The following is a 13,163-nucleotide window of genomic DNA, read 5'->3' as shown; positions in this document are numbered from 1 at the left end:
AATGTATGGTCCTCCCACATTTTGCATGTAATTTGGGTAGCTCAGCAGTTGTAGCCAATGAATTTTCATCTCATACTTAAACAAAGTTAGAAAGAAACCATCTTATGTTGCAGTCTCTTGCTGAATACCACTTGTGGGGCAGGGGATGGGTTGGAGCACATACTCTCTATTAAGAAGAAAGCCAGAAAAATGTCAGTTTCATAGTAAATGTATCAGTGTTCCAAGGTGAAGAACATGTTATGTCATGTGTCATAATGGTGCTTCAGGACTACATTATGCAAAAATAAACATTTAACCATAGGTGGCTATTGTTTAATTTCCTTTTTAAGGTTGAAAACTGTTAACTTGGTGTTAAAAAACACTCAAGCTGCAGAAGCCCTCGTAAAACTCTATGAAACTAAACTGTGTGAAGAAGAAGCAGTTATAGCTGACAAGAATAATATTGAGAATCTAATAAGTACTTTAAAGGTATGAGACTCACTTTTGGATATTTTTAAATATCGTATTCTACAAGTATTTCTCTAGCACTTAGATCTTCAAACATCAAGTGTTAAATATCTTGGATTTTTGAATGGATTTATTCCATTTGTGTCTCTGTGATCTCACAGTTTACTCTAAGTATGTTCAGTCATTTTAGTTTGAGGAGAGTTCTCATTTGAAGTTTGAACCCTTTTGACAGTAGCTTTTGATAGTCAATTCATGTTGGCAGCAGGAGGAGTCGAAGCTAAAAATTAAATTATTTGTAATAGATTAACTTGCTGAAAAAGAAGTTAATTTAAGATATCAAGGAGGTAAATAGAGAAGTTAATCTGAGAAAGGAAAAAGACTTGTAGTTCAACTCATCTATGTGTATTTCTTTAGCAAGTGGTGAAACTATTGCAAAGCAATTTTTAAAAGTTATCTCAGTGATTTTTAATGCATGTATTTCTTTTTAACAGTGGGATTAGTAGGCACTTAAAAGCAGACAATGAAAAAGACATATTTTATTAATGGAGGTAGCAAACTTGCTTATGGAATATATTTTATTTTGTTGATATGCAAATTTTATTAGGCTGAACGTTATAAAATTGTCATTAAAAAATCAGAGTACAAATATTGAAAATTTCATAAGGTTTGAACTAATATAATATTGTGCATATGAAAGATATTCTTTCCTTTATCTTATTTTCTACCTGTCATTTGTAAATAAATTGTAAAATTAGGTAAATAATATATTTACCCAGTGAGTGGTTAACATTTTTATAACTTTTACCAATTAATGTATTTTAGCAATGGAGATCTGAAGTAGATGAAAAGAGACAGGTATTCCATGCCTTAGAGGATGAGTTGCAGAAAGCTAAAGCCATCAGTGATGAAATGTTTAAAACGTATAAAGAACGGGACCTTGATTTTGACTGGCACAAAGAAAAAGCAGATCAATTAGTTGAAAGGTGGCAAAATGTTCATGTGCAGATTGACAACAGGTTAGTATCCTTTTTTGTTCAGTTTTAGCACAGATTTAATGTCTATCTATGGTAAATGAGTAAAATCTACACATATGAGGCTATTTTTTTACTTCCATAGTTAATTTGTTAATTACAATACCTCTACTTAGCCATATTTCTTTCTTACTTGGAGGACTTTAGTAAGACATTTAACTTAAAATAAGCATTTTTTCAACTCTGTTACTATTCATGTATTCTAGCATTTATATAGTTAATCTGCTTGCCTTTTCTGAAGGAAAAAACAATGTAGTTCTCTAATTATTACCAACTTATAATATTCAAATAACCATGACTTAGTAAGAGCATGAAGCATGCATGTGATAGGGCTGTGTGTAGCTTCTATACTGGACTTAAGAAATGTAAATAAATGGAAATGCCCTGATGTTCATTTTAATTGAAGATACAAGAAAGTCAAAATTCTCAGTTACTGAATTAAAAAAGGTTTTAGGGTTCATCTTAAAATAAATGAATTCGTGTCCTTTCTCATTCACTTTCGTGCTTATATTAATGCAAATAAAATGCTTTTATGATACAGTGCCATTCTCCAAAAGTAAAATTATGTTCAAATATGTGTTATCTCTGTAACAAATATGATACATAGGTTTAATGTGGTGGTTTTTTAAATCATAGAGACAGGTATGTAATCACAGCTCCTGGAAAATACTCTCTGAGACCATGTTGAACCATTCATTGGACTACCTTATCGTTATTTCAAAACTGAACTGCCATTTGATGCAAGCCTTACTATTCAAGACACTGTAATTGATAATAATTAAGGTTAAGCTTCCACTTTTCTTGCTTTTTAAGTTTAGCTTCTTGGGCTTGTCCCTAGAATAATCACTGTCACTAAATTGCACAACTCAGGGAGCAGAATGTTTATATTCAACCCAATAAGGAATGCCCTTGGGGGTGTGCCTCAGGGTGCTGCAGCCTTGAGTTCTTTATACATACCCGTCTTGTGCTTAGTTCATTGCAGTCCAATTATTTTGTCTCTCCCATCTCTACATCTTCCACCCTCCTGATGGATATCGCTGGACACCGTGACTATTCGGTTACTATTCTCTTAGGTTACGGGACTTAGAGGGCATTGGCAAATCACTGAAGTACTACAGAGACACTTACCATCCTTTAGATGATTGGATCCAGCAGGTTGAAACTACTCAGAGAAAGATTCAGGAAAATCAGCCTGAAAATAGTAAAACCCTAGCCACACAGTTGAATCAACAGAAGGTATGTAAAAATAATTCCCTCTACTGAGGTTATGTCTGCATTTGGTCAGTCATGCTCCTCATCTTCCTTTCCTATGTTAAATGAAAAAGTCACCAACTCTTTAGAGGAAGGTGGAGAGTATATAAAAAATATTAAAATCTTGCAACCCAAACCTACATACATGACTTATTTTTATTTCTTGGAAGTAATTTTTGAAAGCATGGGTAATCAGAAAGTGGAGAGTGTTGGGATACTTTTCAAATTCCTAATGATAATTTATTTAATCATAGGTATAGAAATCTCTTTGACACTTTGCTGGCCTCAATAGTTTTCTAGGTTCCTAAATAAGTAAAAATGGTTAGCAATGGAAAATTAAATACCACATTTGACAGAAAGTTGAATGCTTTGAGATTTTTGTTCTATCTTAGGGGCCAATCATCTCTAGCTCTATTTTCTTCAGAAATAGGTGGTGGCCAAGGGCATCAAGTCTGCTTTTGGATAATTCCTAAGGAGTTTAGTAATTTCTGCTTTGAAAACCACATGGGGTGGGTCACTTCTGTGGCTTAATCTGAAAGTTTGTAATTTTCCCATAAGGCAAGTTGTGTATTAAGTGCAAAGGGCTAAGGAGCTGTACTGTGAAGTGATGTAGATATGTCTTAGTTACTGAGCATCTTATGTAGTAGAATAGCTGAATTCCTTGTCATTTTTGTTCTAAACTGTGTATATTTATAGATGCTGGTGTCCGAAATAGAAATGAAACAGAGCAAAATGGACGAGTGTCAAAAATATGCAGAACAGTACTCAGCTACAGTGAAGGTAGGAAGATTCATTAACTTTAGTAAAATTTAATATTCAGGTTTGTGATTCTACATGTACTGTTAAAGCCATGCAAGTCATTTCACTCAGTGTTTAAAAGAATCTTCATTTGAACTTTTTTGACACTTATCTAATAATTCTTTGTGAAATTAGTCACATGACAGCCCCCCAGTTCATTCGTCTTCTTCTCTCTCACATATGTACACCCCTGCCACTCCCAGCCACCAGAATACATAGCTCTGTAGTTGGTTTCTTATCACTTTTCTTTCTTTTTTCTTTAACATTGTTAGGGTATTTCATGGGAGAGCTTCTAACTTTCTCACTTAGGGGGACACTTTTCATGCTTTTCAAGTTGTCATTGACAACTTTTCAGTTTTAGCCCTCCAGATCCATAGTTCCATTGCTTAGCTGGAGGAAAGGGGGGCTGCATAGGGCTACACTATTGTTACATATATTTTCATGAGCTTCTAAACAGACTTGGAAATTACCCGACCACCCTACATGTTTCTGATTTTGTCCCCATCTTGGAAGCATCTCCAGGATTGGATAGATTCCTAAAAATGTAATTTTGCTCTACAGTCATGTGTTGTTTAGCAAAGGGGATATATTCCGAGAAATGCGTTGTTAGGTGATTTTTTCATTGTGCGAACATTGTAGAGTGTACTCACATAAACCTACATGTTACAGCTTTCTACACACTTAGGCATATGGTACAGCCTCTTGCTCCTAGACTATAAACCTGTACAGCATGTTACTGTACTGAATAGTGTAGGCAACTGTAACATAATGGTATCTATTTGTGTATCTAAACATATTAAAGGTATAATAAAAATAGGGAATAAAATACAAAACATGGTACACTTGTATAGAGCACCTACCATGAATGGAGCTTGCAGGACTAGAAGTTGCTTTGGTGAGTTAGTGAGTGAGCTCTGAGTGAAGGTAGAGGCCTAGGACATTACTGTACACCTCTGTAGAATTTATAAACACTGTACACTTAGACTACACTAGCTTATAAAAAAATTTCTTCAATAATAAATTGACATTAACTTACTGTAACTTTTTTACATTATAAACTTGTAATTTTTTTAACCTTTTGACTCTTTTCTCATAGCACTTAGCTTAAAACAACGAACACATTGTACAGCCATACAAAAGCATCTTCTTTCTTTATACTTTATTCTGTAAGCTTTTTTCTATTTTTAATTTTTGGTTTTTTTTTTTTTTTTTTACTTTTTAAACTTCTTTGTTAAAGCCTAAGAGACAAACATACACATTAACTTAGGCCTATATAGAGTCAAGATCATCAATATCATTGTCTTACACCTCCAAATCCCATGGGAAGGTCTTCAGGGGCAATCACATGTATGGAGCTGTCTTCTCCTATGATAACAATGCCTTTTTCTGGAATACTTTCTGAAGGACCTATCTGAGTCTGTTTTACAGTTAACTTTTTTTTTTTTTTTAAATAAGTAGGAGTACACTCTAAAACAACAACTAAAAGTATAGTGTGGTAAATATATAGACCAGTAACATAGTCATTTATTACCAAGTATTACATACTGAACATAATTGTGTGTGCTATACTTTTGTGTGACGGGCAGCACAGTAAGTTTGTTTACACCAGCATCACCACAAACGTGAGTAATGCATTGTGCCACGACATCACTAGGCGATAGGTATTTTTCAGCTCCATTATAATTTTATGGGGCTACCATCATGTATACGGTCTGTCTTTGACTGAAATGTTTCATGTGAAACACGACTATATTTTCTTTATTTAAACTTAATTTAATGAATCTAGGTTCTAATGATCTGTGTCAAATCACTAAAGTTATTTTAGTGAATCTAGGTTCTAATTATCTGTGTTAAATTATTGTAGAATGAAACTCTAGTACTTTGCTTCAATTCATTTTATCTTATTGACTCCTTTATACAGGACTATGAATTACAAACAATGACCTACCGGGCCATGGTAGATTCACAACAAAAATCTCCAGTGAAACGCCGAAGAATGCAGAGTTCAGCAGATCTCATTATTCAAGAGGTAATAAAAGTATGAGAGAAAGAGGGGAAGGGGCATAAAAGAAAGAACACTTACTTTTTAAATTTTATTTTTTGTTGTGGTAAAATATACATAGTATAAAACTTACTATTTTAACAATTTTAAATGTACAGTTTAATGACATTGCAGTATATCACAATATTGTGCAACTGGTACCACTGTTTATTTCCAGAACCTTTTCGTCATCCCAAAGAGAAAGTCTACACCCAGAACAATACATTCTATTAAGGGTTTTTAAAAACCCTTTAAAAATGTTTATTCAAGATTAATTATTAACTATGGAGATAAATAAATGTACTTATGTACTTCATGGTGAAATTTAGAAGAGAATTATCATTTGCCATGATTTGCATAATAGTAATAATAAGCTCATTCTTATCATTTATTATGGGGGGAGTTGTGTGCTTTGCTGTCTGAAGGCCTAGTTAATGTAATTATTATTCAAAATTCATTCAACTTAGTAAGAGTAACTGGAGGTAATGCTTTTATTATTTTTTTCCTTACTTGCAGTTCATGGACCTAAGGACTCGATATACTGCCCTGGTCACTCTCATGACACAATATATTAAATTTGCTGGTGATTCATTGAAGAGGCTGGAAGAGGAGGAGGTAATCATTAACAGTGAGCACCCTGTAAATATAAAGGAGCTAGAGATGAGCAGTAACTACAGTGTAGTTTGGGAAAGCAAAACATGTTTCATGATAAATTTATGTGGCCGGTAGCAGATGTACAAATAAATATTGAATTATAAAATTACAATGAAAATGACTGAAGGCCTAAGATTTTTGTTTGTCTTTAAGATTCATTCAAATAGAAAGTCATTTCACTTCATGACTTTACATTTTCACTTCAGGACTCTAATATGGTGGGGTTAATGTCTTAAATAAATTACGAAATTTTGGCAGTTTGGCAGAATATTTTTCGGCTTTCTCACAGCTGAGAGGTATACTTCTTTGAAGTATAGTTACTGCTGGTATGATGTCTACAGGAATACCACACGAACACATTTGTCTTATGCATTTTAAATTAATTTGTATCTCAAGAAGTTAAAATTATTATACATAATGTAAAGATGCTAACTTAGAAGTAGTAGACGTTTTTACAAAATGATACTTTTTAAGAATTTTGGAGTTTTTTGTTGTTTTTTTTTTGCAAAAAGATATAGCACATGGCATTTAAAAAGGCTATTTAAATGCCACTCTGATTTGGAGAACTTCTGCAGCTTTGATTCTGCATTTAAAAATCATATTTCTGCATTTATAAATCATATATTTAAAAATCATATAGGAAGAGTAAGGACTTATTTATAAAGATCAGTGGTCACCAAAGGCTCTTGTATGTAATCTAAAAGGGAGTATGCTATGCTTTGTTATCTTGATGTACTTTCTATTCCCCAGAACAGACAAAAATAGTAGAATGAATGTTGAAATAAATAAATTGTGGGCCATTAGCTATTTTAAATTGGACTGTTGTTGAAATTCTAAAGGTGATTATGCTTAATGTAACTCCATATGAGAGCTGAAACAGCAGTAAACATCTATTGGATGTTACTTTCTCAGTTTCCTAAAAATGTGACCACTTTTATAAACTGTTTTAGTCTGTTCAGAGTTAACAGTTTTCTGCAGCTAAATCACTAACATAGCTAATTGCAAGACTTTATAACCCTCTTCCTTTGTGCTTAGGAGAACCAGGATATTTGTGACCATCTTAAATGCATGCATCTCTCATCTATGAAAGAACATCCATAATTTTCTTATATTTTTAGTTTTTGAGAGATCTTATTCCATTTTAAATGGTATACAGATCTTTTAAATTGAATATGCAGTAGTTAAATATAAAATAAAATAACTTAAGTTCTTTTCTCATAGTATGTATCTGATTATACATATATGGGCCACTTACTCGATTTATCTGATGAGGCAGAATGCTAACAATTGATAGAAACAAAAAATATTTTAGAAGGCCTTAATTGAATGCAAGTTATTATTGTCCTTAAAAATGTCAAAGATTTGTAGTTAATTGAAACCAGCAAATACAGTTATGGAAGAACAAGCGAAGGCTATAATTTAAAATAGGTTAAAAAAAACTACCACTTAACATTACGTTAATGGAATGTCGTGTAAAAGATACATAGCTTAATTTTTAGACTCAAAAGATTGGTGTTTCTGCAACTGAGGTTTGAAGACCCACATGAAAAACCTTGGTCTAAAGCAGAATTTTCCATAATAAACATAAAATCAAAGATGGATGCAAGTTAATTTCAGAAGTAATACTGATTTAGTTAAAAGAAATGTTACTAAAATATCTGTAATAGATATTAGATATTAGAGAGAGATGCTTTAGTCTGTGCTGAGAACAAAATATGCTAAGTATTAATCACCGTGATTAAAGGGCAAGATTGAGGAAGATTTAGAGAAAAGTTAAGGAAGTTATTTTTATGCAAATAAGTTTGAGATCCACAAGAAAGCAAGTCAGCAATTGGACTAAATTATTTCTAGTAATTTTTCTCACATTTGCTAAAAAAGTCAAGAGACAACATGATTTTTTTTTTTTTTTTTTTTTTTTTTTGAGACGGATCTCTGTTGCCCAGGCTGGAGTGCAGTGGCGTGATCTCGGCTCACTGCAACCTCTGCCTCCTGGGTTCAAGTAATTCACTGCCTCAGCCTTCCGAGTAGCTGGGATTACAGGCGCCTGCCGCCTGCCACCACGCCGGGCTAATTTTTCTATTTTTAGTAGAGACGGGGTTTCACCATGTTGGCCAAGCTGGTCTTGAACTCCTGACCTCATGATCCACCCGCCTTGGGTTCCCAAAGTGCTGGGATTACAGGCATGAGCCACCGTGCCCAGCCGAGATTCTTAACAAATCACTGCATTGCCTAAGGCATTGAGGGTTCAACAACAGATATTTTTTTCTGAGGGAATTTTTAGTTTTTCTAAATCTGAGCATGAGAAATAGCTCAGAATTTCTTAGCAATAGCTAAGTTTTAAAGGAGGTTTGATAAGCAACTGAGACTGTCTTAGAAATAACCTCCTCAAGAAATACTGAAAACTTAGTATTTAAATAGATAAAATGCTCATGTGTCACAGGATTGACCCTGATACTAAAATAAAGAAAATAGAGTGCTGAAGATAACAGATTATGAGATTTGTTTCTGTATGAATTATTATTAGAAACCTTATTTAGGTTAGCAAAGAAAACAACTGAAATTCTCATCAAAATTATTGGAGATCAAGAAATTAGAGGAAGCAAAATAAGATGTATGGTCTGTAATAGAAATTAAATTCTTGAAATTCACCAAAGCTTCTCAATGAAAACAAATCTGTCTAAAATAATTTCTGTATTCCTGTTTAAATTATTTTATGGTGATCTTGAGTTGATGATACAAAACTAACACACTAGAATATTAATAAAGAGAAATTAAATTGTAATTATAAACTAATCCTGATCATGTAGTTCTATAATCAATGTAAAGCATACTCCTCCCAGCTGACATTGATTCTGTCCCTAGTAGAGTAAAAATTTTTTCTTATAATTTTTTCTATACATTGGAGCTGAATCCCTAAGTATATATTTAAAAGCTATTATACTTAACAAATATCTTTATATTTATGGAGTATTTAAAGGTGCTTGTCAAAGTGATTCATATGAGGCATGTTATTAACAACAGCAACAAAATCTGTGAGTATATGAAGCGCATCTTTTCCAGAGCCATCAGGACTGTAGCTGCCTTTGCATTAGCAATTCTGATTATTATAATTGTCATAATATGGCAAGTATAAACAAATAAGGGATCTGACTTTAGAAATTTCAAGTTTTTGTATAATTTTCCTTCTTCCCCATGTTATTTCCTAATTTGGCTCTCTGTTCTAAAGTTCTGTGCTTTGTTTTTTTAACCATAAGACATGGGAATATAAGTATCATTTTTAATTTCTATTAGGTTAGAAAACTAAATTCTTTAGCATCATTTGGTTCCTATGTGTTGGGTGTTCTTCCTACCTCTTAGGATTATGTTGCATGCAAGAGAAGAAAGGGCACCGTCGTGAGAGTTTTATTTCCCACTTTGTCACTCACCCAATGTGAGTTTGCAAAAATATCTGTCCTCCTCGTTTCTCCCTTTCCTCATCTGTTGTAAATTCCCTTCTTGCTATAAAATTCTAAGCTAGCTAATTTTTAAAATAAAATTATTCCTGAGGGGCAAAAAGATATTCTTCAGAAAACCTGTCGTGAAGGGTTTTTTGTCCTCTTCTGCTGACTTTCTGAGGCTTCCTCTCTGAAGAAGGTGATGCTGCTGGTGGTGGTGATAGCGCTTGTTCTGCATTTGAGTTCACTTGGTTTTGTAAGTACTTTTATGAACATTGATTCATACGTTGTAAGATATTTTGAACAGAACAGGCTTGACACTTTCAAAATGTCTTTTGTAGATTAAAAGGTGTAAGGAGACTTCTGAACATGGGGCATATTCAGATCTGCTTCAGCGTCAGAAGGCAACAGTGCTTGAGAATAGCAAACTTACAGGAAAGATAAGTGAGTTGGAAAGAATGGTAGCTGAACTAAAGAAACAAAAGTCCCGAGTAGAGGAAGAACTTCCGAAGGTCAGGGAGGCTGCAGAAAATGAATTGAGAAAGCAGCAGAGAAATGTAGAAGATATCTCTCTGCAGAAGATAAGGGCTGAAAGTGAAGCCAAGCAGTACCGCAGGGAACTTGAAACCATTGTGAGAGAGAAGGAAGCCGCTGAAAGAGAACTGGAGCGGGTGAGGCAGCTCACCATAGAGGCCGAGGCTAAAAGAGCTGCCGTGGAAGAGAACCTCCTGAATTTTCGCAATCAGTTGGAGGAAAACACCTTTACCAGACGAACACTGGAAGATCATCTTAAAAGAAAAGATTTAAGTCTCAATGATTTGGAGCAACAAAAAAATAAATTAATGGAAGAATTAAGAAGAAAGAGAGACAATGAGGAAGAACTCTTGAAGCTGATAAAGCAGATGGAAAAAGACCTTGCATTTCAGAAACAGGTAGCAGAGAAACAGTTGAAAGAAAAGCAGAAAATTGAATTGGAAGCAAGAAGAAAAATAACTGAAATTCAGTATACATGTAGAGAAAATGCATTGCCAGTGTGTCCGATCACACAGGCTACATCATGCAGGGCAGTAACGGGTCTCCAGCAAGAACATGACAAGCAGAAAGCAGAAGAACTCAAACAGCAGGTAGATGAACTAACAGCTGCCAATAGAAAGGCTGAACAAGACATGAGAGAGCTGACATATGAACTTAATGCCCTCCAGCTTGAAAAAACGTCATCTGAGGAAAAGGCTCGTTTGCTAAAAGATAAACTAGATGAAACAAATAATACACTCAGATGCCTTAAGTTGGAGCTGGAAAGGAAGGATCAGGCGGAGAAAGGGTATTCTCAACAACTCAGAGAGCTTGGTAGGCAATTGAATCAAACCACAGGTAAAGCTGAAGAAGCCATGCAAGAAGCTAGTGATCTCAAGAAAATAAAGCGCAATTATCAGTTAGAATTAGAATCTCTTAATCATGAAAAAGGGAAACTACAAAGAGAAGTAGACAGAATCACAAGGGCACATGCTGTAGCTGAGAAGAATATTCAGCATTTAAATTCACAAATTCATTCTTTTCGAGATGAGAAAGAATTAGAAAGACTACAAATCTGCCAGAGAAAATCAGATCATCTAAAAGAACAATTTGAGAAAAGCCATGAGCAGTTGCTTCAAAATATCAAAGCTGAAAAAGAAAATAATGATAAAATCCAAAGGCTCAATGAAGAATTGGAGAAAAGTAATGAGTGTGCAGAGATGCTAAAACAAAAAGTAGAGGAGCTTACTAGGCAGAATAATGAAACCAAATTAATGATGCAGAGAATTCAGGCAGAATCAGAGAATATAGTTTTAGAGAAACAAACTATCCAGCAAAGATGTGAAGCACTGAAAATTCAGGCAGATGGTTTTAAAGATCAGCTACGCAGCACAAATGAACACTTGCATAAACAGACAAAAACAGAGCAGGATTTTCAAAGAAAAATTAAATGCCTAGAAGAAGACCTGGCGAAAAGTCAAAATTTGGTAAGTGAATTTAAGCAAAAGTGTGACCAACAGAACATTATCATCCAGAATACCAAGAAAGAAGTTAGAAATCTGAATGCGGAACTGAATGCTTCCAAAGAAGAGAAGCGACGCGGGGAGCAGAAAGTTCAGCTACAACAAGCTCAGGTGCAAGAGTTAAATAACAGGTTGAAAAAAGTACAAGACGAATTACACTTAAAGACCATAGAGGAGCAGATGACCCACAGAAAGATGGTTCTGTTTCAGGAAGAATCTGGTAAATTCAAACAATCAGCAGAGGAGTTTCGGAAGAAGATGGAAAAATTAATGGAGTCCAAAGTCATCACTGAAAATGATATTTCAGGCATTAGGCTTGACTTTGTGTCTCTTCAACAAGAAAACTCTAGAGCCCAAGAAAATGCTAAGCTTTGTGAAACAAACATTAAAGAACTTGAAAGACAGCTTCAACAGTATCGTGAACAAATGCAGCAAGGGCAGCACATGGAAGCAAATCATTACCAAAAATGTCAGAAACTTGAGGATGAGCTGATAGCCCAGAAGCGTGAGGTTGAAAACCTGAAGCAAAAAATGGACCAACAGATCAAAGAGCATGAACATCAATTAGTTTTGCTCCAGTGTGAAATTCAAAAAAAGAGCACAGCCAAAGACTGTACCTTCAAACCAGATTTTGAGATGACAGTGAAGGAGTGCCAGCACTCTGGAGAGCTGTCCTCTAGAAACACTGGACACCTTCACCCAACACCCAGATCCCCTCTGTTGAGATGGACTCAAGAACCACAGCCATTGGAAGAGAAGTGGCAGCATCGGGTTGTTGAACAGATACCCAAAGAAGTCCAATTCCAGCCACCAGGGGCTCCACTCGAGAAAGAGAAAAGCCAGCAGTGTTACTCTGAGTACTTTTCTCAGACAAGCACCGAGTTACAGATAACTTTTGATGAGACAAACCCCATTACAAGACTGTCTGAAATTGAGAAGATAAGAGACCAAGCCCTGAACAATTCTAGACCACCTGTTAGGTATCAAGATAACGCATGTGAAATGGAACTGGTGAAGGTTTTGACACCCTTAGAGGTATACTCTGTGTTCTGAGACCTTATCAGCTACCTAATGTCAAGTTTCCTCATTTGTTTCCTTTCTCTCCTAGACTAAATTTTTAAAACAATTTTGAATGTGATTGGCTCATTGTAGTTCTGACAGGAAAATAATGCTATACTCTTTCTGGTAACTTACTTGAATCTTTATCATAAATTAACTTTAATTTTTGAATGTTTGAGATTAAACATACAGATGTAATAGATATACTGTTATATCTGTGGAGATACATTCTGAAAAATGTGAGTATCAAAAAAGCTAGAAGAACCAAGCAGTTAGCTTTAACTTCTAACATATTCTGTGGCTAGACTTTGTCTTAGTCTTTTTTAAAGATATAATTTTAATACCTTTAATTGTCATCTAAGATAAAATTCAGACTCTGAAAATAATATAATACTTATTCCTGAACCCTCCT

At 34.6% G+C, this 13,163-nt stretch overlaps 1 protein-coding gene across 11 annotated transcripts in view; it reads left to right on the top strand.

The window, feature by feature from the left end:
- DST (dystonin) overlaps positions 1-13,163 on the top strand; it is a 496,835-nt gene that overhangs the window by 324,118 nt on the left and 159,554 nt on the right. For 10 of the 11 annotated variants that reach the window (NM_001144769.5, NM_001374722.1, NM_001374736.1 and 7 more), the window contains 6 exons: positions 330-468; positions 1,270-1,463; positions 2,552-2,714; positions 3,426-3,509; positions 5,449-5,556; positions 6,085-6,183. In NM_001144769.5, the coding sequence (NP_001138241.1) occupies positions 330-468; positions 1,270-1,463; positions 2,552-2,714; positions 3,426-3,509; positions 5,449-5,556; positions 6,085-6,183 (787 nt within the window). Of the gene's footprint in view, positions 1-329; positions 469-1,269; positions 1,464-2,551; positions 2,715-3,425; positions 3,510-5,448; positions 5,557-6,084; positions 6,184-9,997; positions 12,728-13,163 lie in introns of all 11 variants that reach the window. The other variant, NM_001723.7, reaches the window with a different exon arrangement.

This window comes from Homo sapiens, chromosome 6, assembly GCF_000001405.40.
Source record: "Homo sapiens chromosome 6, GRCh38.p14 Primary Assembly".
In the NCBI taxonomy this organism is placed as follows: Eukaryota; Metazoa; Chordata; class Mammalia; order Primates; family Hominidae; genus Homo; species Homo sapiens.
Note: the sequence above shows the minus strand (reverse complement) of the source record. Positions and strands in the feature narration are given on the sequence as shown.